We start from the raw sequence: 24821 nt of genomic DNA, 5'->3' as shown, positions 1-24821 counted from the left end.
TGCAAGTGATATTCCTGTAAACATACCACAGTATCCAAAAAAGTCTGGAAACATCAAGGAAATAGTATTTTTACTGTAATTTTTTCTGACTAGCAAGGTGGTATGATCCATTTCTTTCATACTTCATTGGGGATCATTACTTTTTTCTGCCTCACAGGATGTATAAATGACTCATAATAAATTAAGGATTATTAAATAATAATGACAATAATAATAACAACTATAATGATAATAGTAAAAATAACAAGCAGCAGCAGCAGCAGCAGAAAGCACAAGCCTAAGTGGAAAATTAGGTTTCCTAGAGGCTCCTGTTCTCCACAGCATGACCTTAAAATGGGAATCATTTCTCAAGCCTCTAAGACACCAAAGCACAGATGCACGGTGCATAAACAAATAAGTGACCACATTAGTGGTGCCCTTTGGGGGTTTAAAATCTTATTCTTATGACCCCAGGAAGCTGACCAGAGAGAAGGGGGAAGAAAGAAGTACAGGATATTTATCTTTACATTTTGGAAATGCTTTTGATCAGCAGAGCTGGAACAAGTTTCTGTGCTTTTGTGGGAACTACAAATGTTCCAGGGGAGGAAGCAAGATCAAGAGCAGTTTGCTCTTTCAGGGACTTCAAAGCCCATTCATCTAAAGATGTGGCCATTACCATTTTGGCTTCCTCACTGTGCCTTGGATGGCCCTGTACTTTTCAAGAGGAGAGCCTTGCTGGGTTGGGGCCAGCTAAAACGTTATTCCTTGGAGTGCAGTGTCCCAGAAAATCTGCCCTTCCTGGCCTGTGCTCTGTGATTATAGTCCCAACCAGGAGTGAACCTTGTTCCTATTGGATGAATCAGACACAGAGGTGAGTAGGGTGGCAAGGCTGGACTACCCATTTTCTGCCTCTTCTCCTCTTCCAGGTGTAGAGAATTGTAAACATAAGAAGAAGGCTGGACTGTCTCCACCAGGCTCTAGGTCTCTGATCCCAGTAGTCTGTCTCTTCACTGGTAGCAAAAAAAAAAAAAAAAAAAAAAAGGCAACCAACCAATGAACTAAGCCAACCAAGCAAACAAATAAAAAAGAAAACTGTCTTAGCTTAGCTGTACATACTATTCAGTCCTGTTATGATGAGTCCATCAGTAACAGGGAATTGTCCTCTTCACATATAAGTGAAGCCCTGGGAGTAAGATTTCTTCAGGGATCCTAGATCTTTTCTGGGTGTAAGATACATAGTAATTTCCCAATCCAAACCAAAGCAGAACAAAAATCCTAGGGCAACACCCTAACATTGTAAGCCATAATAATCATGCTTTTATACTTTAGAATTGTTTTTGGTGGTTAAATGTCTGTGTAAGCTCTATGAAGCAGGGACTGCATCTGCCTTGTTTACTGTTGGGTCCTCAGGTCCCAGCATGACATCTAAACGTATCTGTGGAATGAATGACTAAATCAGGACCTTGGCATTTACTCTGTCACCTATTCATTATGTGAACTTGGATGAATTTTCTTTTGTGTCAAGTTCTCAATTTCTCCATTCTCAAACAGTTTAGCCTAACCCTAAGAATTGCAGAGAGGAATGGCATAAATGTTATTCCTGAGATAATGCCTACGTGACATTGGATGTGTCTTGGGGCACTTCTGGCAGTTATGCTTAGCAAATGGAAGCTCTTTCTTTTTTCCTTCAAATTGGGTATACTCCAGTTACCACATCACTCTGACAGTTGAGTTCATTTTTATGTGCTTCAGTAAGTGAAGATAATAATGCTGACATCCTGAATTTTCACCTCTGTCAAGTGAGAAGTAGGGGCAAGCTCATCTTTGAGGAAGGCCTTTTGTAACTCTATGATTTTATTCTATTCGACTTTCTGGAACTGGTCTCAGGATAAAAAGTGAGAAAGAATGTACTGTACTGTGAACACAATCACAGTGATATTCCATTTCTTTAGATGTTTCATAGACCTCTCGACTTCCTTTTTCTTAACTGTATTGCATAGTTTAAGCTTTCTTTTACATCATAAATTCTGAAATTTTACTCAAAGTAAGTTTGAAAATTCACATGACACCAAACATAATTCTCATTTAAATATTTACTTTAGGATTCTGGATGACATAACTCTTGCACATGGAAATAATTTTACTGAACAATTAAAAAATGATTTGAAACTTTATTTATTTTTAAATATACTAAGGTTTGGAATCCAAGGCTCAGCGTTCAAAGTTTGGGTGTTTGATGAACCACCTTTGTGTCAACTGAAAAAGTAGACCAGGAGCATTAAAGGTATCTTAAAAAGAAATAAAAAAAGGAAACATACTATAAACCTATTGATCATCTTTCATTCCTTCAATAGCATTTCATTAATATTTAGAATGGATCAGAAACTGTGGTAGATGTTTGGGATCAAATACATCAATTTCCCAGAGTCCTCGTGCACATGCAAAAGCAGCACTGGGTCAGGTGACATGAATTTCACCTCACCCCTGTTACTAACGAGCTAACAGTCCTGGCCCCTGTTACTAACCAGCTGACTGATCTTGGGCGAATCACTTTCAATTCTTGGGATTCATCTATAAAACAGTGATGGGTCTCTTCCAGCTTTAATGATATTTGGTTACATTTATCTCAAATGAAATGATAGAATATAACTAAAAGAGAGTACTTAGGTAAAAAAGCAAGCCACTCTAGAAGTCATACACTTTCCTTTCTTGACATTCATTTGTTAATGAACAAAATTTATATATTAAAATTTTTTCAAAGCAATCATATTATAAATTGATTGCTTGCTTTTATAATTTCTCATTCCTTTGGTAAACATTTACATAATGTCTGCTCTATGCCAGAAACCATGCTGAGTATTTGAGATCAGAGATGAAATATATGTACCATGCCTTGAAAGAGCCCACAAGCTAGTAATAAAGGTAGAGAAGAAAACGTAAGTTTGGGTTAACTGCTATTCAAAATCAACACTTACTGAACACCTTTTATGCTTGGGATGCATTTGTGAACAAAATTGATAATGATTTCTGTTTTTTGTGGAGCTTATATTCTAGTGTGAGGATCAAACAATAAAGACTAAATATGAAAGTAATAGATGATGTAGTATGACAGAAGGGGAAAATGTCATGGGGTGAAAAAACAAAAGGTAGAGCAGGGTACAAGGGAAATAGGGGCATCTGTAGTGGGGGTTGGGGGTAATGCATTACACTGTTAAGAATGGCCAGAGTAGGTCTCATTGAGAAGATAACATTTACATGAATATTTGAAAGAAGTAGGGAATGGATTAACCACAGAAATATCTGGGTTAGGGGCAATATAGGCAGAGAGAACTGGCAGTGGAAAAGCCCTAATGTTGGAAACAAGGGTGGCTGGAGTGAAGTGAGAAAGAAGGAGAGTAAAAGGTGAGGACAGGAGAGCAGTCAGGATAGGTAGGGGCAGAGCAGGGAGGGTGGTGTGCAGGACATTGTAAGGCTGTTGACTTTCACTATGAGTGAAACAAGGGAACTCAAGTGGTTCTGAGTAGAGGAAGGACTTTGACTTAGATTTTAAAAGGGCATCCTGGCTATCATGTAGAGAATAGATTGTGGAGGCTAGGTTGAAGTAGGTAAGAATAAATCAACTAGGAGGCTATCACAGAAATGTAGGCTAGAGATGGTGGTATGGACCAGGGTGGTAGCAGTTGAGAAGATGATAAGTCATCAGATTCTGGATCTATTTTGAAGGTAGAGCCAACAAGAGATTTTGGTGTATTGGATATAAAGTATGAAGGAAGGCAAAATCCCAGATGGATATGGGCATAAGAAGGGGCATTTATCTTAGTTTGGGAAGTATAGGAATGATTCCTAAAGGAACTATCAATTAAATTGGATCTCAAAGAGACACAGGAATCACTGAAGATGCCAGATAAGGCAGGTGGGGGTGGGGAGAGAATCTTCTAGATAAAGAAATAGCATTCACAGGAAGTATGCAGGCAAAAATAGAGGCATGCCATGTTTGGGGAACTGCAAGTAGTGCTAATGGAAGGAAGAGTGAATGTGGAGTGTACAGCAGGAGATGAGCCTAGAGACCTGGGCAGTGGTTAGCTCCTGTGCCAGGAGAGATTACTATTTGGAAGAATCTTTAGCAAGGCATAGCTCTAAAAATCTGTTTTGCAAAAGGAATATTTAAACTGGGTTAGCTTCAAACAAGATCCATGTTGACCAATGCTGGAATTAGCTAGTGGGAACACATCTGAGTACCAGGGAGTATTTTAATCTATTTTTAAATTCACAGGAGGCCTAGTTTTTTAATCCTATAATGATGAGAGCTATTGGGGAATTGGCTAAAAGTGTCCCTTGTCAGAAGAATCTTGGAGTAAATGTATTGAGTACATGCAAATAGCCAGAAGAAGACTTTTTTCAGCCTAATTGAACAGACTGTTTAGTGTCTGCTAAGTGTGTACTATTGTGCCTAGTTTATTGCCACAATATTCAAGTTAGAAAAAACAAAGATACTGTTTCAGAAAAAAAGTAAAACAAATCTGCTTTTCAATAGCTAGGAAAAAATATTCCATAGTGCATCTCAAGCTTAAAGCAGTAATAATGCATACATACTTATAATCTTTTACCTAGCTCTAAGTTAAAAATATACATATATTTAGTCATATACAGGTTACTGTAAGCTAAAATCTGCATTCTATTACTATAGTTAGTTCTTTGACTTATTTTTTAAATGTACTAGTTAGCTAACTTAGCATTTTGGTATCCTCCCTTAGTAATGTATTTTCTTGTCCAATTCTCACTGCTGAGAATATTTACCTTGTGGCTGGTCTAAATTCCCTCTCTTTTATGTAGTTTAAATCTGTTTTTCACCCTCCTACTCTCTTCAGAGATGGAGAATGACTGGTAATGTCTGTCAAATTGAGAAGGCTAAAATAGCACTTTGTGGTCAGGTTTGCACAGCCAAACTGAACGGTAGACTTGAAAAGAGTAATTGAACAAGACAGACAAAAAGAGGATACTTTTGTTTTGTTTATCCAAATAATGGGCTTGTTTCTTTACTTTTCTTTGCCTTTTAAGACCCAAGAAGTCACTGGAATGAAGGAACATGTTTTGGTTCCATAAAACACCTTGCAAAGGCTCTCTGAATTCTAAGCGTTCATTTTATTTTAGCTGTTGATGAGTGAATATATTTGTATATTTGCATACTAAAAAGTAAGAAAGGAACTAGAATAACAAAGTTAATTAATATATGTGGTGAGTAAAGATAAATAATACCCTGAAGGGTAGTCTGATGGGGAGTATGTGCTGAATTCTTATTCATCTTTAAGAATTAAGTGCATTGCAGATACCTTTTACGAATACCTGAGAGTTAATTTATTTTTAGAGTAAAGATATTCTTTTTTTACTGACTCCAAGGTCCATTCTCAATTTTTAGAGATGTCAACAGGAACTAACCTGGGATTTGAAGATGAATGCTCATTTATTACTCTTTTTATTTATTTATTTTTGTTATTGCTATATGAAATACACTCATGGGAATACAGGGCACAGAAAAAGTTTAATCTTTACCAGTTTTAGTAGTCATTCTAATGATAAGAAGTGGTATCCATCAGATTAATTGGAGGAATTACTGACATAATTGATTTTGACTACTTTCGGCCCTCTCTGGGGAAAGTAAAGAAGTTATGCAACATGCAGTGTGGTGATTTTTGTGCTTATTTTCAAGGCTGCCTTGCAGGTAAGAATTATGGAATAGAAGCCAATGGTCATGAGGCATTTTTTTCATTATTACCTGTGATTTCATAGACCACTTGACTTCTGAGTGACCACTTATAAGGGAGATGTGAGAACTGCCATTTGCGCCAATGGTAGTATGATCTGAGCATATAAACTTTCAGGTCTTGGATGATACTTCTGTGGAAGCAGACTAGACATTGTGCAGATTGGAACGATGCCTGAGTGGCATGAGAGGTATTAGTAATTCAGGTTGATGAAAGCATTTTATCACTGTAATGTTTTTGGCATCAAAATCTTTGTGCCCCAAATATTACTTAATATTTTATGATTTGGGATTAAGCTATACTACCCAGAACAAGTGCCTTAATAAGCAGATATCCCATGTACCTAAGTAGAGAATGTAGACCTAAAGATTTTGTGCTTTTTACGTAGTAATGCATTCAATGCAATACTATAGTTAGAGAAATATTTAGACTGTATTTAGAAATAAAGAGGCAGCAAAAATCACTTTTCACTTTGAATACACCTTTGTATGATGTTCACTACTGTATCAGAATGAATTCCATTAGTCTTCAACCTGCTTATAGTCAAGCTCCCAGAAAAAGAGTTTCATTTCATAACATATTTTGAGAAAATCCCCAACTATTAATAATATATAAATGTTTTGGTATAGCAGAAAAATAAACGGAATGCCTAGAAATCACTAGGGTCTGGGTATCTTTTCTGTTTTGCCCCTAATTATGCTCTGGGAGAACAGTGACTTCTCTCTCTCTCTCTCTCTCTGTCACCCACTGTGAAAGTTATGAGATTCTTTTGCTCAAGTCACCCACAAAGAAGGCTTGGAAGTTCATGTTCCCTAGAGAGGTGCCAATTCTGCTAAAGAAGATTAAGTGCCCATATCACACATGCCATAATCCTGCAGCCAACATCAACAAAGAGCTCAAATCTAGCCTGGCCCTAATCTAGGGAGCTACCACAGTGGGCTGTCAGCCCTGCCTGGGGCCCCTTTCATTGCCATGTCGTGTACCAGCCGAGATGTTCATTCAGAAATGAGTAAGAATGTTAGAGAACCATCCTATTGCATCCTGGAATATTTGGTTAACAGTTTGAACCCTTTTTATGGCTTTGAAATAATTATTTCTGAATTGGGCACAGAGGCATTTGATTCCTATTTTATTTCACTTGTTTGCATCTGAGAAGATGTTTAAAGGCTCTTGGCTTACCCGTGAAGTTGATTTTCAGCAAGTAATCCTTGTACAACTTCTTCCCATCCAGGATCTTCATAGCATCACAAAGCTTGGTAGTGTTGGGACAGAGGGTGCGCTGCATTTTGTGCAAAGCGTGGGCCATGGCATACACCGCGTTCACCACAAACATGATCTTGGACTCTTGCTCGTAGTTGCTGCTGTCGATGGCCAGGTGCTTGTCGCAGACGCGCCTGTGGTTGCGTTTGTTCTGGAGGCTGCACTGAAACTTTTGCTCCCAGAAGTCCCGGAACCAGGGGTTGCGGTGGTTGTTGTAGGGGTTGAGGCTCTGGAAGTAGCGGTCGAACTGGCGGACAGGCTGGGAGGCCAGCTCCAGGGTGATGGCGCCGTAGGCCACATGCTCGCTGCCCTTGATGATGCTCTCCTGCGCGCCCCAGCCGTCGCTGGCCACCCAGGTGAAGGAGGCATTGGCGCGGCTGGCGGCTGCAATGAGCTCCCGCGAGTCGTCGCTGCGCATGAAGAGGACCACGACGCGCGCGTTGGGCTTCTGCAACAGTTCTCGGATCACGCTGTCGTAGGACTTGCGGATGTTGGAGCGGCCCACCTTCTCCGCCGTAGCGATGCAGATGTTGCGCAGGCGGGCTTCCTGCTCGAAGGCCTCGATCCCTGTCTCCCCGTAATCACCCTCGGAGGCTACTGTGGACACGTAGGTCCAGTTGAAGAAGCGCAAGATCTCAGCCATGGCTTTGGCCTGGTAGAAGTCGGGGGGCACGGTCCTGGCAAAGTAATCATAGCGCGACTTATCACTGAGTTTGGCGCTGGTGGATGCGTAGCTGATCTGAGGGATCTGGAAGAGCCGCAGCAGGTTTGCCACCTAGGGGAGGGAGAAGAAGGACCTTTGTTAGAAACCCCGAGGTAGATGACTGGACATGAAAATGAATAATAGCATCCACACCTTTTACTGACTCCCTTTTCCCTCTACTCTAGATGGCTACATTTTTCTGTTAGTTCTTGAGATGAATACCAGATGCTTCCTTGGATACTGTATTTTGGACACTAGGAAGCAGGTCTCACACAGGTAGTGTGTGCTTCAGGAAAGGGCAGAGTAGAGAAATGAGAAGGGCACCACACTCTCTTCTATACTCTGTGCTAGACTCTAGACTAGGATAAAACCTGTCCATGGGCTCTCAGGTTTCTTTAAGTTTCTGGGGTCCTGCTATATATAGCTCAAGCAATGAACTACAGTGAATTGGCCAAACTCGGTTTTTGACTGCACTTGTATAGAAAGAGCAAGGGTGTTGTCTAATTCTCACTTCCCCCTCTTTTGCTAAAAACGGCAGTCTCTGAAAGAGTTTAATTTGGGAACTGCATGCCACATGGGCAGTCCAGATTAGACATTTATCATCTAGGTTAAGCAAAAAAAAAAAAAAAAAAAAAAAAAAAAAAAAATCAATTCTATTTAGTCCACCACCCAACATTTTAGGCATACGCTTTTCTAAACTCCTGAAAATCTTGACCAATATTTTCTTTACTTTCTTTTTCTTTTTAAAATATTTTTCTGCTTGGACTATGTGAAAAGAAATAATATAGAATTCTATTCTTACATCATTTTTGATTAAAAAAAATTAAAAGGTATTGAGGACCTTGTCAAGAACAGACCACTTACTTCCAAGTATTTAAACCTAAATCTGAATCAAATATTTAAATTTTTTATAATTGACTATCAACAATATTTATCATTTTTATTTATTGTAGAATAAAAAGGAAAGTGACACTTGTTTATTGAGGAGCATTTTATGCATACAGTATTTGAAGAGATATATATTTACAAATATCTAAACAGATTATATGCATACTGAATAATTAGCTTTTAAAAATAATTTCTCCTGTCTACCTCACGTAGGAGAGTTCTTTCTCTATACTGACTTAAGTTAAATTATGTAACATACTAAGTGGATTTTAATCAGAAATGACATTGACTATTACAGTATGCTCTGTCTACATTGGCATGAATATTAGTACTTTGAAATTTTTCCTTTTGGAAATTGTGGTTTCACGTTTATATTTGACATGTAGCAAGCACAGCTTGAAATAGGCAGCTGTTAGCAAAGAGCACAAGCAACATAAAACAACTGACATCTGAGCCCCGATTAATCATAATTTCATCTGGCAAGAGAAACCAACAGCCAAGTTCATACACAGCTACACAGCATGTTCTTGGATATCTGGCCTGCTATTAAAATCAACACTAGATATAGTCCAGAGCTATCAAAAATATCTTCTATATCTTTTCCAATCCTGCTACCTCTCAACCACAAATAAAACAGCTAGAAATCTGGGGCTTAACACACAATATAATGCAAAATTAAAACCCCAAATCTTTCTTGCATTTAGTATTCTTTAATCCAGGGGAATGGAGGTGAATGGGTGGATGAAGGGGTAAAGGCTAATATATTATTTATTTCTTCTCTTCTCAGGACTAGGAGACTCTGGACAAAATGGCCTATACTGACTTATTTAGGCATAGGAATATTGCTTCACTCAGCCTGACTGAAATGGCAGGTGTCACCAAACAGGTACTGTCATTACTTCTAGAATGAGTGCCTGGCTTCCACTGGATTTATGTACCACTATGGAAGGCTTGGTGATAGGAGCCCTGTCTATGCATAGCTTGACTTTGTTAAGAGGTTTCTGGCTAGCACTGGAGAGGCCATCTCTTCTTGATACAATGATTTTCTCATCTTCAAGTTATATTAATCAGGACCTGAACCCCTCAGGGAGACAGAGAATGAAAGGACCTAAAAAATATCTGGACATTATTTTCTGGCAGCGAAGAATCACAGTGAAACAATCCTAAACTGCTGAAATTTCCTCTCCCATAGGGGTAGGAGTAATGAGAAACTGCTCAAAAAAAAAACAAAAAAGTTCTTGTTTTTCAATGATAGGCTTCATGTCTAACTCTCCAGGATGTACGAGAATAATTTACAATGAAGGCAGGCTTTGCAAGAGAACGAACTAGCCATAGAATAACAGCAATGTGGGAAAGATTCTCTGCATTGGAAAGGGGCACAATGAGCTGTAACTTTGGGGAAGGCTGTGGGCTAGAATAAAACAGCAACTATTGCCAACATTTTAAGAATAATTTTATGTTCCTCTGTGTGTGTGTGTTTAATGAGGAGACCACAACTGACTCTAGAAAAAGGAGGCACATTTGGTGAGTTGAAACGTGAAATTGGAACATAGTAAGTATTATCTCAATTGTATCACCTATATTGAATAGCATGGGGTGATAATATAGTCAAACTTACGATATTCAGAGTTACATTAGAAACACATGTAATACAAATGAATCATGGAGTGAAGTATTGAAGTAATTTTATCACAGTGAGCTGCTCCTTTTAAAATTAGTTTCTTTAGATTAAAAGGGTTAAAATGCTTAAAAGTAAACACCATGGGAGGCAATAGATTATAAGTCTCTCTCCTTTCTCTTTCTCATCCACCTCAGCCTTATTTGTAAAGAAGAATGTTAGTTTGGTTTATTCATTTAAAAAATGTGTTTATTCTGTTGTAAAACCAAGTACCAATGTACTGGGTATGTACATACACACACACACACACACAAACATATTTTGCTCTTTTGATAGTCACAATAACTTTTTATGGTGGATATTATTATCTCTATTTTAGATATGCAAAAACAGTTCTGCTAGGTGAAGAAACTTGTTCATAGCCATATGGTTAGAATGTGTGGGTGAAATCAAGGTGTAAAACCAGGTGTTTTGACTTCAAGGACTATGGCTATCCCCTCACAGCTTCCTCTCTACCTTCTACTGTGTGACTATAAACCTGAGGCTTCAAACACAGAAAGGCATCCAGGTAGAAAGAACAAGAGGAACAGAAGCAATATTATGGTATACACCATAGACTGCCTAGTTGCTGTTAGCAGGAACTTTCCTTTTAACATAAATTTAAAACTAGGGTTGGGGAATATCCAGGTAGTTGTTAACTGGGTTCCTGTCTCATTTGTCTAAAAGCTTGGTTCTGGAATATTCTTGACTTACTTTACTGGCCATATGGTTTCTCTGAGAAAGCATAAAGAAATAAAGGAACTCCTACACTGGACATCATTTTGAATGATAAAAGAAAAATTGTTTTAGAATGGAGAAGTAATGTAAAATTTTGGAAGAAAGTTACCCAATTATGTTATTATTAGATAGAGTGGAGGAAGGAAAAACAGGATGTAGTTATATATGCTTTGGAAAAAAATACTTTAAAAGAGATATGCTTCACATAAATTAAGACTCTAAAATGGAATACAGGAGGACTATAAAAATAATTCATACAATACAGAATAGTCTCAACAAGAAAGAGAAGATGAAAACTCTAAAGAATCCACTGGGTGCTAGGCTGCATTTGGGGGATTTTGGTGTTAGAAGAACCAGCAACACAGAATGGGTGCTGTCTGTATGTATGTTGGGGGCGTCCCCATATACAACATAGAAGATTGACATAAGCCTGTAAAAATAAGGGACGCTAAAGCGCAGAATGTGAAAATGCATCAAAGTGATTTTTGTCATTGCTATTGTTTTGATTTGAAATTATGTTTCAGGAGAAGATGTGGCAGGAAGATACAGAATCATCAAATGGGAAAGTTGGTTCTATATGAATAAAAGAAAGATGCTGCTCCATCCCTCTTACTTTCTCATTCTCTCCATTGAGAATGGTTTCTAACATGGAAATGGCAGTACAAATAATATAAAAAGGTTATCACACTCAAAAGTAGGAGAGAATACAAAAAAAAAAAACCACCCCATAATCAGATGAATGGAGTTTGTCCCCAGTAATGAATTCTGGAAGAAATTGCAGATTACATTATGAAATCACTATCAATAATTCTTGAAAAACACACAATGGAGGACTCCCACAGGGTGAAAGGGACAGGGTGAAAGGGAAGGAGGAAGGACAAATTCTGGATATATAAATCAAGAAGAAATATAAATGAATAAGCATGATGTGCTTTGGTAATCTTCTAGAACAAAGTTTGCTAACAGAGAGCATGGAAACACTTAGAACTGAACGAGGAAAGTACTAGGAATCAGCATGGGTTTAATAAGAGTGAATTTTACCAGGGGGCCATCTTTTCAACATTATATAAGGAAGAGTTGCAGCCTGGAGGACCATGACTTTAATAAGTTATTGGTGACATTGCTTGGACTCTTGAGGAAAAGAGAAAGTGATAGGAGTTGGATAATACAGTTAAACGTACTCAAAGACAGCAGCTTGGAAGAAAGTCTTATATTTATTCCAAGTCTTTATATAAGTCTTATATAAAGTCTTATATTTCTATATTTATAGTGGCCAAATAAAATTACATTTGTATTAATGCCATTGAAAAAAGCATAAATAAGCAATAAGATCTTTACATTGTAGAGATAGAAGAAACTGTGAAGATGATCTAAACCTTTTGTTTTATAGGTGAGAAAACAATCTCACAGGGTGAAGTGACTTTTCAAAATTTAGACAACTAATAGGCAGAAAGCCTAAGATTAGAGCTCAGTCTCTTGATTTTCTCAAAGGACTAGTTTCCCTCTCAGGAAACAAGGTGATATTATATAGGAAGAGATGTAAATTCCTGAGTTTAAGTTAAAATTACACAGGTGAAGAAAGAAGAAAAAACTAGAAAAAATGAAATTATAAATGCAAAATTCAATATTGCAGTTCAGCAAGTGCCAGAAATCTAAGGGTGGCTAAAGTCAAAGACGGATTATTAAGTGGTTTATCCTGTTTAGATTCCAATTCAGAATTCCTCAGAAGTGAACAAAGAAGAGCTATTTCAGTTTTCCTATTCTCTAAGTTACTGTTTTCAGACTACCTTTTTTTTTGGGTAAGGCTTTTTTGGGGAAGCCTTTTAAAGATCCCTAGTATTTTCAGTAGTCCTAATATTTTTGTGCCAGCTACTGTTCTAATTGTTGCAGATGTGTTTTCTCATTTAATCCTCAGGGCATTCTTATGATGTAGATACTACCATTATCCCATTTTATAGCTTGAGAAACTAAGGTAAAGAGTGCATAGAGATCTTACTGAGGAACCCATAAGTGGTAGGAATTCTGGGACCACTCACTGTACTCACTTTTGTCATATTTATCCAGTCCATTCTGCAATCCAAGCTCGTAATGGATTCCTCTCACTATAATGATGCAATGATATATTTCAAGGTATAATGTTTGTCTGTTTTTTTGTTCTGAAGCCATAAACTCCTTTATTTGAGGATCATGACCAATCATCCCTTGCTATCAAAAGTATGCTTTTCATTTGTCAGTCTGTGCTTTGTGGTGACTCCATAAACATTCGTTTACTGACTGGCCATCAACAGAGATAACAATGATAGTCTAAGAGTCTACTGGGAAATTTCCACGGGGGCAATGAAAGCTTCAAGCTATAAATATCAGAGTCAGATTTGGCTTTCTGATTTATGTGAGAAACACAATGGCCTTATAGCAGAACCCATTAGTTCCTAGGGCCTGAGAGGCGGCATGCAAGTAAGTTATGTTTAGCAGAATCTCTTTCCATGTGTAGCATGTACTGTCATTTTATTTTCAATGTTCAGATATTATGCGGTACCCATTTTCTTGGTGTTTTGAATTTATCCAGGACTTAGGTGTTGCAATGTTTTCATTGCAGGTTATCAAGTCACAGATGTGATTAATTTTGCTCAAGAAGAAATGCTGGACTTGGCCAGATATGATTATGTTTGCCAGCAGATGCAATGTTATAAAATTGGTATTTTTTAATTATACTTTAAGTTTTAGGGTACATTTGCACAATGTGCAAGTTTGTTACATATGCATACAGGGATCTAGAACTAGAAATACCATTTGACCCAGCCATCCCATTACTGGTATATACCCAAAGAATTACACATCATGCTGCTATAAAGACACATGCACACGTATGTTTATTGCGGCACTATTCACAATAGCAAAGACTTGGAACCAACCCAAATGTCCAACAATGATAGACTGGATTAAGAAAATGTGACACATATACACCACGGAATACTATGCAGCCATAAAAAATGATGAGTTCATGTCCTTTGTAGGGACTTGGATGAAGCTGGAAACCATCATTCTCAGCAAACTATTGCAAGGACAAAAAAAATTAGTATTTGTGTCTTTTCCCCATTGTTGTAGTTATAAGCTGGTGTAATTTAGAATGGGCTTTACTTGCAGTAGTTGTCTAACAAACCATTGCTAAATGTTATTAAATATCTGCCACCATTTTCCCAATATATTTTTTTCTTCCAAATAAACTCAACTTTATGGAGAATCTCTGACTTACTGTGATGTTCCTTCTGTCTAGAATGACCTTTACCACTTGTCTGCTCAGCTAATCCATTCAAGGGCTTCTTCTCTAAGGAACCGTTCTAATGCCTGACTTCAGAATGACTTGTGTGCCCATTCTCTGAGCCTCTTTCATTCCCTCATGTGTTTCTCTCATGGTACTAATGAAAATATATGGTGATTTCTAGATTATTCACTAAGTTCTCCACTGGAGTGAGAACTCTCGTTAATCTCTGAATTCTCAATGCCTCACAGAGTATAGAGGTGCTCTATAATATTTGTTAAATGGATTGATGAGGGAATTGATATTTTGCTGCTCTACCATGTAACCTTTTCTAATTATAATGATGGGTTTGTGTGTGTGTGTGTGTGCGCACGTGTGCACATGCACACACGACGGGGAAGCTGACCACCAGCAGGCAATATGAAGCCACTCTGAAATATGACTGATAAACAATTTTATTGTGCAATGTGGATCTTTAACTAGTCATATTCATTTTTTTATTAAAACGAGATGACACATAAGACAAGGAATTGATTTAGACCTTCAGGAATCAACTCACACCACTTGCTCCCTTATTCTTGCTTTAGGAATGTTTAAAACTTTATTTTTTTTCACAATCAATAGCCAATTGTGGAATGATGCTACAGTAGGCATCCAAGCCATACTCATTCACAGATGGGAATTTTTAGTTCAATACTAATTTATTTGGAAGTTTTATTTCTCATGATATTTTCTAACAAGGCATAGAGCCTTCTTTTTAGGATCCCAGGTGCCATGCTTTATTTCAATGATGAGTGTGTGTGTGTATCCAAATTTTGCTTTTGTGTAAGAATACCAGTCATACTGAATTAGGAACCTACCCTACTTCAGTATGACCTCATCCTAACCTAAGTACATAAGCAATGACACCATTTTTCAATCAAGTCACATTCTAAGGTACTGGGGGTTGGAACTTCCAATATTATGTTGAATATAAACTTTCAGTCTTTTAGCACTGAGTATGACATTAGCTGTATATTTTTAGTATACGGCTTTTTATTACACTGACATAGTTTTCTTCTATTTCTGTGTGTTGATTTATCACATGTTGTGCATTGCTTATCATGAAAGGTGCTGTGATCATGGGAGCAAAAGAATATGAGCTATGAGAAAGATCTCAGGCAGTTTACTCTATTCTTTTCCTGTTGTGAAAAAAGAGAATGTGAACTGGAAAATATCAGTCACTTGTGAGCCCCCACATCAGTTCCTTATTTACTATTTCTACTCAGGATATACATGATGTATCAATTTCAAACAGAGCTTTGTGCCTTCTATGCTGACACAATGCCAAATATTTTTTTTTCAACACAAGACAAAAGGACTGTGGACATGTAGAATCTGGTAGAAACAAGTTTCCCACTAAAGTGATTTTTTAGTGCTATGAGAATTATTTTCAGAAGTTTTACAGTTATTGGCTTCTGAATTTGTGCTAATACATTAAAGGGAACAATAATAAATAGTTTTATGAGGATCTATACTTAGCTACAAAAATTCCAGATGACAAAGAGGCATCAAATGCCCACTTCCAAGAAGAATGTTATTTACAGAGCTGAACTATATACATTTAAAAAATAAACCATTGCTACTGCCCTGTAATCAGGAGACTTGATAATAACCTTCATGTTTATTCTCTGCTGTTCACCTATCTTTTTGGGGCTGTTTTCTAAGAATAAGTCTACACCTTTAATTGCTTTGTCACACATGCAGTGCTGAATGTTTTGTTTAGTTCTTTTAATTAAATGCTTATATATGTGCCTGGAAGAGAACCATTGAGTTGCTGCACTTTGAACCATCTGTTACCTCATAGCACAGGTTATTACATAAAAACAAGTTCTAGAATTTGTGATGTTTAGAGACCTCAGTGTCCCTCCTATTCAGCTTGTTCAAGTTACATTATTAGCTGTACAAAATCCCAGATTGGCTTGTATTTTAAACTGGAACTGGAGGTGGTATATAGTTGACAAAACTGCCTGAGAAATTCAAGCTGTTCACATCATATGAGTTATCTGCCCATAAAGGAGTCCAATCATATTGTTATTGCTAAAAGGATTAGTAACTTTTTTTGTTTTGTTTTGTTTTGGCCACATTACCTGTAGCACATCTGGGAACAATTTGCATGAAAACAATTGATGCCCATGTCCCAAGACCAGGAATTAATGTTGATTTTAGAAATCGTATAATGAAGTATAGCAAATACCAGTGTACGCAGTATAATATGAAGAGGTCAACAACTCTTACATGCCATGGGCCCCAAAAACACTTGAGTCAAAGATCCATATTGGTTATCACCATTCAACAGCATGGCTCAGTACCAGTGATTTCACATGGACATTCCAAACAAAGGACTCCCTAATCATAGTGGAAACCTTCAAAAATTGCTCAAAGTCACCCTGCTTTCCATCCCAAGTCTCTCTGAAAATCATTGCACTCATCTCCTGTAGTTTGTAACCAGGATTGTCACACACTTTTATTTTCTTCATTTGAAACTGAAGGACTTCTTAAATAGTAAGGTTATTCATTTTGGCATTTTCATAACTCATCATTTAGGTTGAAGTGATATGCAGACCACAAAGGATTCCTCGAATCCTATCATTTCAGGAGACTGGTATTAAAAGACATGTCATATTTCTCACCATCACGATGCTATTCCACATTCAGATATCTAGCTTGTTCCCTTACTAACAAGGAACTATCTCAGGAATAACTTTCTTTCCATCCAGATTTAGCAGGTACTTACAAGACAAACAAGAAGGTATTTTGCCCACTGAATTAGTCTGCATCTGCTCTTTGCTTCCCTTTTCCCCCATGCATTAGTTTTCAGGAGAAATCACAGAAGTGAAGTGGTTCATGTTCCAGTTCCTAACAACAGGATCAAAAAGTCTGTGTCATATCTGGTGTCAAGAGTGTTTGTGTTTGCCAGCAACACCTGCGAAAGCATGACTTCCAGGGTGACTTGACATCAAAAGACCTGTTAGAAACACATCGTTTAGTACCTCAGATATTGATTTTTGACAATGTCTCTTGAAGTTTTAACAGAGCCACAAGTTGAGCTAATCTATATTTTTCTGTGGTCCCTGAAGTCACTTGTATAACAATAATATGAGAAATATGGCCTTATCAATAACAAAAGGCATGCCAATCTTTGTCAGTTGTTAACCAAAGGACAAAAGCTGTTGGGTATGCTTGGGGATAGCTGAGGGCTATAGCCTAATATTTCCTTAAATGATTATCATTTACTTTTGAGGTCTTGGGGCAATAATTTAGGGCAAAGGTATATTCACCATATTGTAGCAAACAGAATTGTGTTATTCATTGTTTTCTTGTTAACTACTCTTTACTTCAACAGAGCTGTCAGACACAAAAGAAGCAAATGGTATTGAAGCAAAAGAAGCAAACAGTGCACAGGGTTGGAATCAGGCCAGCATTGGAATCTCAGCTCCTCTCACTAGCTGTGTGACCTTCGGCTAGTTATTTTAACTCCTTAAGCTGCAATTTCTTTATCTGTCAAAAGAAAAGGATAGTAATCCATGGTTTATGAAGTCATGTAAAGATTAAATGAAAACATATGAAGCACTTAACTCACTGATGGGCATGTAGTAAATGCTCAAGAAGCAATAGAGAGGGTGATAATAGCTAATTTGTCATCACTCATTCAGCAAACTTTGACTGATGTCGATTATACAAGGCACTATTCTAAAATCTAGTTTTGTTTTTTTTTTCCTGGATGAGCAATGTACCCCTACAGTCCTCCAGGAAGTCGTAATTTGATGGGAGACAAAGAAACATAGCCAAGGATACAATTTTAAGGTATGTATGAATACAAACTTACACAAAAACACAGGTGAAGAGCAACTAATTACACTCAGATGATTCATCACAGACCTCCATATAGAGGTAACATATAGGCTTGATGTTGAGGAATAAGTGGAAGTTTTCCAGGCAGAGAAAGAGGAAATGAGGTTTTTACATAGAAGAGAGAACACAAAGACAGAGATGAGAAAGTACATATTTGCTTTAATAGTAGGTAGTTCCCTATTTTCAGAATACCCAGGGCCTCACAGGGATTAGTAGAAGGTAAAGAAGGATAGAGGGATGGTGGTGAGACCACTAAGAATTTTATATACAATTATAAGTATTTTGAACTTTGTTCTTTAAGAGATAAAAAGCTATTAATTTTTTTTTATTAAGGAAATGACATGACCAAAGTTATGTTTTAAAAAGAGAGTTGGTGATATCCAACTTGAAAGGAATGAATCAGGGAAGGGCAATCAGATGAACAAACTACCCATTCTGACTTAGGCTATGGGTTCTTGAAAGCTAGGGATGATGTCATCTCAATAATGCTGAGTAAGTTGATAATATAAATATAAAGATTGGAGCTTTAAAACAAATGGAGCCTACTTGAAACTATTTTATTTCATTGGTAGTAATTACCTAAGTACTTGTGTTTTTATTTGTTCTCCTCTTTTTGTCATTACAGGTCACCTTGAATCCTTCCTGGAAAAAAGCAGGTCATAAATAATAATGGTTGTTGGAGAAAGGTCTCTAGGAAAGATGAAGAACTTTTAAATTCCTAGAAGCATCTTAGAAAAGATAACACAAAAACTTTATTTAATGTAAAAATAAGAGCTGAGAGTCAGTTAAATAAACATTGTTAACAGTTGAAATTTTCTGGATTATCTGCATTTATTGTTACTTTCCTTTACTTTTTAATTTAATTTTAGATCAAGGAGTTACATGTACATATATGTTATGTGGGTATATTGTCTGATGTTACATTCCTTTAAATCTTGTATAAATAATCTTTCTTAAAACTACTTTGTAAACTTAGGTAATATAGACTTAATGCACATGTATATTTTTATTTAGATGGAATTTACTTTTTTATTGAGAAATTCAGAACAAATTTTAGATCATTTGTTCAACCACATCTGTTTTCCTTATTGGAAAAGCTTAATTGCCTGGTTTGCATTCTATGAGGCCTCATTTGTGAACCTTATGGTATCTACCGAAATTGGAGGCACTGTGCCTGGGAAAAAAACTACTAGTCCTTTGTGTAAACACACTGACAATTCAACCCTATTAAGTGATGGCAAATCTGTCAAGATGCTTTGCCATTCTGACCACTTGGCAAGGAAATCTGGTCTATGTTTAAAATATAATTTTTGAAGGTGTTGCTTCTATTGAATTCTCCCCTGTATTGCAGTTCGCTTTATTGGAATGTGAAGCCAAAGTGTTGGCAAGAATCAAAACTTTGTTACTAGTAACAAAGGGATTTCCACAATATACCAGGTGGTGTTGTCAAAAATAGTCACACTACACTTTTAGTGTTCAAAGTCCCACTGATAAACCTCCTGGAGGATCGTTTGTTTGGAGTTTAACTGCAGGTGTTTTTGGAACACTATTCTTAAATTCCCAAAGTCTGCTAATTAGAAAGGTAATCTGTGAATTTTCAACTGCATTTTCCATAGATCAGTAGAAGCACCTCTACTACATTAAATCCATGGACCTTCATTATTATAAACTGCTAACCGCTGCTCTTTCCATATTGAAATACTGAAATTGTACATATCAATCCATGAAAAAGGCACATATTTAATGGTAATTTGGAAAGAGAACTTTGTGTCATTAAGGCAAAATATCATAGGTTTAATCAGAAGTGTCAGCAGTCCTATTTCAATTCATTTACCTATTAATCTATAATCATAGCATAAAACACTGCTGCTATCTTAGGAATGTCTGTATTCTTTGCTTTTTATCGCGTGACCTCCATCATAGACACCTGACCTGCAGTGTAAGCCTGGACCATCCTATTGCCTTGTGAACAGTGGTCCTGACGGCAACTTCTTATCTTTCGGTAGAGTAGTTTCCAAATAAATACATGACAGAAGGGGAATTAATTAAGAAACAAATTAACCCCAATGCAAAGGAAAAAAATAGTAGCATATCAGATAATTACTTCTGATGAGAAATTTCTACAATGAAGCAATGCTAACAAAAGCATTTTTAATTGCTGTTGCTGGTGCCTCCCTCCCTGTGATGAAGTCCTTGAATGGCATTGCCCTTTCTTGGAGGAGTTGAAGCAGGAGCAATGGAAGGAGGTTTCAAAACAATCAGTGTTGTGAGATTGCTTTAGAATGAAAAGTCTGGGAAGGAAATAAATGAAAAGATTCTGTCTGAGATAACTTTTGAGTCAGATTTTTCTGCAGCTTAGACTATGTGAGGGGGTGGTTGGTGTGGGAGGCAAGCTATCTGGATTCTCATGTTGATTCTGCTACTTGTAAAGTGATAAAAACTTGAACTTGGAACTTGACCTCTGTGAGTCTCAATTCCTCTTGAAACTGTTCCTTTTGGGCTGGAGATGTTGAAAGTAAAATAAATAAATAAATAAATAAATAAAAGGTAATGGATAATAATATCTACTAAAATGTTGACTGCTAAGTATACAAGGTACCATTTTCTCACTTTTCATGTATTTTCTTATTTAATTCCCACAATAACCCAATGAGAGAGGTACTACTAATATCCCCATATTACTAGGTACACATGTACATAAAGACGGCAACAGTAGACACTGGGAACTAATAGGGGGAGAAGGTAGGAAGGGGTTCAAGGGCTGAAAAGCTACCCACTGGATACTATGTTCATTATCTGGGTGCCAGGATCATTTGTACCCCAAACCTCAGCAACACACAATATACCTATGTAACAAACCTACATATTTGGCCCTTGAATCAAAAATAAACGTTGAAATCGTAAAAAAAAAACTCAGTTTTAGACATGAGTAAAGAGACAATGCAGGGTTAAGTGAATCCTAGTCAGTCTGCACAGAGTTTTAATCACTGTGTTGAAATTTTTCAAGAAAGGCATACTAAAAATGTACAATTGTAACATATCCATGCTATAATCATTGTATTTGCAGTACTAAACTCCCTAAATGCAACTATCATTTTTACTATTCTAGTGATAGAGATACTGGTGATAGAGTAGTGAATGGATTTCTAATCCTGTCACTCTGCTTTTCTTGAGGGTAGGATGATGTTCTCTTTGCCTTTGCATTAGCTACAAGCACAGCATCTGGCATAAAAATATTCCCTGCATATTCTTCCCGTGGAGAGACTGCAGACAGCTAGATAAGAGGACAGGCTCTAACATTCAAAATGGCCCTGACTGTCTAGTTGTGTTGAGCCTTGGATAGTCTTCTCTGGAATAGTTGGTCTAAGTACAATTGGAATGGAACCCCTAGAGCTGCTCTCAAATCAAAGCATCTGTGGCACATGTGTAAAGAATGGGAGTGAGGACGATGGGGGCAATTTTGTCCCACATGCTCGCCTTGCAACATTGTCTGTCTTTTATATCTAAACAAGTCTTCCATTGCAGAGAAATGCTTATTTCTCATTTATGAGCATCCAGACTGATCTAGAATAGGTGGGTGATGGTTGTGACCCTTAATCCAAGATTCCCATAAAGATTTTGAGCCTTCTGGAAGTATAGCAGGTTAACATCTTTCAGTTCTTATCAACTGTACATAGGTAATCAATTCTTTCAATTCATTCAACAAAGACTTACTCTCTACCTGGTTGAGACACTATTCTAGGTATCAGTAATATAATATAAAGACAAAAAATGTGGTTCTTAAACTCAAGTGGCTTATAGTTCATGGAAGAATAAATATGCAAATGAACAGTTATATTTACTTAGTAATGGAGGGGCATGTACATGAAGTGAGTACTTGGGAAAGGGTTCTCACAGGGATAGGACTGAAGGAAAGTAGGATTTGCAAGGCATACAGACAGCTGAAGAACACTGCATTCTAGGTGGATGAAACACTGTGTTCCCTCATATATGAAAGACTGTGCAGACATCTTTCTGTAGACTATGAGAAAGCAACTTTCCAGGAAGGCTTCGAAGGCAGGCTTTCTGTTTATGTATATCTAGACGTCTTTCCCCTGTTCAATTCTATTCCTGTCTGCTAATTCTATTCTTCTTTCTGATCTCCCTGTACTTATGTTGCCAATTGATACTCAGATTCTACACTTGGACTTGTTTTATGTATGGTCTTGATATTTCAATTTGCTTCTATATCCCTCAGAAGCTTGTAAGATATCTACTATTTTAAAATTGTATTTTATGTTCCCTCTACTCCATGTCAAGACTACATGATAATGTTCTATAGAATAATGTTCTATAGAATAATGTTCTATGGAATACTGTTCTTGCTGTGCCTACTGTATACATGCTTAATAAATGCTTATTTTCTGATAAAAATGCTTTTATATGAGAACCCTAGTTATAATAGATAGGTAAATAAGATGCTTAATTCATGGCATTTGCAAAAATACTAATATAATCAAGTGAAATAACAATTGACTGGACTACTGCTTCAAAGTGATCCCGATATAAAAGAGCCCATTATGTAAACTTTCTGCTCCATATTTTAAATACTTCCTTTGCAATTACTTAAACCCTAATAGTAGAGTATTTTCATAAAGTGACATATAATTATAATGTTAAGAAATACCCTTAAATGCCTTGTAGTTCAAATACTAATATATGGCTTCAGTCTCCTCAGTAACAGGCCAACTTTTGCTTGAATAACTCCAGAAACAGAGAACTCACTTCCTTCAACCCCTCTCCTTCCAGGCTATTTCCTTTTTAAGAAGTCTTCCTTATGTTGGCTCTAAATATACCTTGCTCCAGATCAGTGATTCTCAGTGAGGAAAGGGGATAATTTTGTAACTTGCCAATGTATGGAAACATTTTTAGATGACAAAGCTTGGGGTGCTGGTGGCATCTCATGGGTAGAGGGTGGTGATGCTACCAAACATCTTACCATGTACAGGACAGCCTTATATCCAGCCCAAAACAGCAATAGTGCCAAGGTTGCTCTAGAGTCAACCTATTTGTCCACAGAGAGAGTGTACTTGTTTCCATTCAGCTGTCTATCAGATACTTGGAGACAGCTAACTATATGAAGGCTATTACACTCCCAAGTTCTGCAACTATTTTTCCTATGCTCCTATAAGAAAACTGGCAATTAATGTGTGACTTTTCCTCAAAACATTTGAATTTAAAGGAGGAATGAATCATTGAAAGAAACCAATGCTTAATACAAATTGACCAGCGGTGGTCCCCTTGAGCACTGTGGAGTTGAGTGAAGGGGGTATAATAGAGGGATGTCTTTATATGCTCTTCCCTCTTCCCCATATAGCTAAAACCTGTGAAATTTACTGCAATGGATTTAATTTCAGGAGTTATTCTTCTCAGGGGTACAATGTGAACAATGCATGTCATGTCATGTCATGTTATACTATGTGATAGTAACCATCTCCTGAGTTAGAGTGTTCCTGGGATGTGGATAGTGCTAGAAATTCTGGAAAATTTCTATACCAGGGATGGGAAAGAGATAGGAAGGTCCTTTCAAGGCTCTCTTCTGCCCTTTCTATGAGCTTAACTTTTACATGCCATCTAAGCCAAATCTTCATTTGTTCCTGAAGTCGCTTTAACACTCAGGGACAAAACAATAACTGGGTCAACTTATATCTGCTATGTTCTAATTAAAATTTGCTCCATCTAGGCAAGAAAAACTGAAGAAATGATGTGTTCTCTGGAAAGAGTGAAGATCATTTCAAGGAAAATTTTTGATTGAACAACTTAGCAGTTAACTACAGTCTATTCGAAAAGCACAAGCATTATCATTGTTTCAAAACAAGTACCATGTAGACAATCACCTAACAGCAACCAACTTGATTCTCTTCTTGAATAAATATAAATACTGTTTTCCCTGAAGTGGGTGGATTGCAGGCTTATGGAGAAGTGCAGGATACAGTCTTAAAAATGCTTTGAAAGAAACTTATTCTCCAGGGAGAGTGAATAGACTCCCACATATATTTGCTAATATAGAAGGATTTTGATGTTAGCTTTCATTGATTACTGAATTAAGAAATCAATACTGTTGTTTTATAAAAGGGACCACAGCAGACTGGCTTGTTGTACTTAATAAGAGCATTGGGAAAATAATTATCCAGTTTCTTCATCAATGGTGATACAGCTTAACCCAGCAAGTCATTAAGAATTCCCCTCCATGCAGTTTTCCTATCAGCAAACACTGCCTATTGTATGAACTAACACAGCATGGCATATCTCCTATGCTGCCTTCCGGAAAAGTTTCTATCCTTTAGTGGGAAGATAAGAAAAGAAGAGGAAGCTGGAGAGAAAGCACTTCCTGAAGCAATTCAGCAGAGAAAGGAATCCAGGCCCAAATGGGGAGATTGCAATGTCTAAACTGACCCAACCACAAAAGGGAAGATGCACAAAATGCTGTCATTCTCTAAAGTTCTCTCTCAACAGGCAATTTGCAATGGAAAACCCCTGAGCCCTGGTTTGGGACTAGATGTTATAATCAGACAGCAGGAATTTTTAAAATTATGTGACAGGTTCATACTCATTTATTTCTTCCACCCTCTTTTTTCCCCCGGCTCAGTTCAAGAAAAGACAATTTCCAGTACATATGCAGGAAGTCAAAAGTAGTTAAAA

The 24821-nt window shown here is 37.2% G+C and overlaps 1 protein-coding gene and 1 long non-coding RNA gene across 13 annotated transcripts in view, besides 1 other annotated feature; one reads left to right on the top strand and one right to left on the bottom strand.

The window, feature by feature from the left end:
* Positions 1–22553, top strand: part of GRM3-AS1 (GRM3 antisense RNA 1) — a 31953-nt gene extending 9400 nt beyond the window's left edge. For 2 of the 9 annotated variants that reach the window (XR_007060408.1, XR_007060409.1), the window contains exons 2-4: positions 6973–7767; positions 9380–18092; positions 18766–22553. This is a non-coding gene — a long non-coding RNA (GRM3 antisense RNA 1). Of the gene's footprint in view, positions 1–616; positions 851–6497; positions 7981–9379; positions 18093–18765 lie in introns of those variants that run through there. The other 7 variants (XR_007060406.1, XR_007060407.1, XR_007060413.1 and 4 more) reach the window with 7 other exon arrangements.
* The window catches only part of GRM3 (glutamate metabotropic receptor 3), a 220971-nt gene that overhangs the window by 70843 nt on the left and 125307 nt on the right, over positions 1–24821 (bottom strand). For 3 of the 4 annotated variants that reach the window (NM_000840.3, NM_001363522.2, XM_047420268.1), the window contains one exon: positions 6921–7776. In NM_000840.3, the coding sequence (NP_000831.2) occupies positions 6921–7776 (856 nt within the window). Of the gene's footprint in view, positions 1–53; positions 990–6920; positions 7777–24821 lie in introns of those variants that run through there. The other variant, XM_017012073.3, reaches the window with a different exon arrangement.
* Positions 8044–8103: an enhancer, noted in NCBI's record as "active region_26223". NCBI's record gives its function as "activates an Ori minimal core promoter by ATAC-STARR-seq in GM12878 lymphoblastoid cells {active_cell/tissue: GM12878}" and the evidence as "EXISTENCE:reporter gene assay evidence [ECO:0000049][PMID:35858748]".

This window comes from Homo sapiens, chromosome 7, assembly GCF_000001405.40.
Source record: "Homo sapiens chromosome 7, GRCh38.p14 Primary Assembly".
Classification (NCBI taxonomy): Eukaryota; Metazoa; Chordata; class Mammalia; order Primates; family Hominidae; genus Homo; species Homo sapiens.
This window is presented reverse-complemented; position numbering and strand designations above follow the sequence as displayed.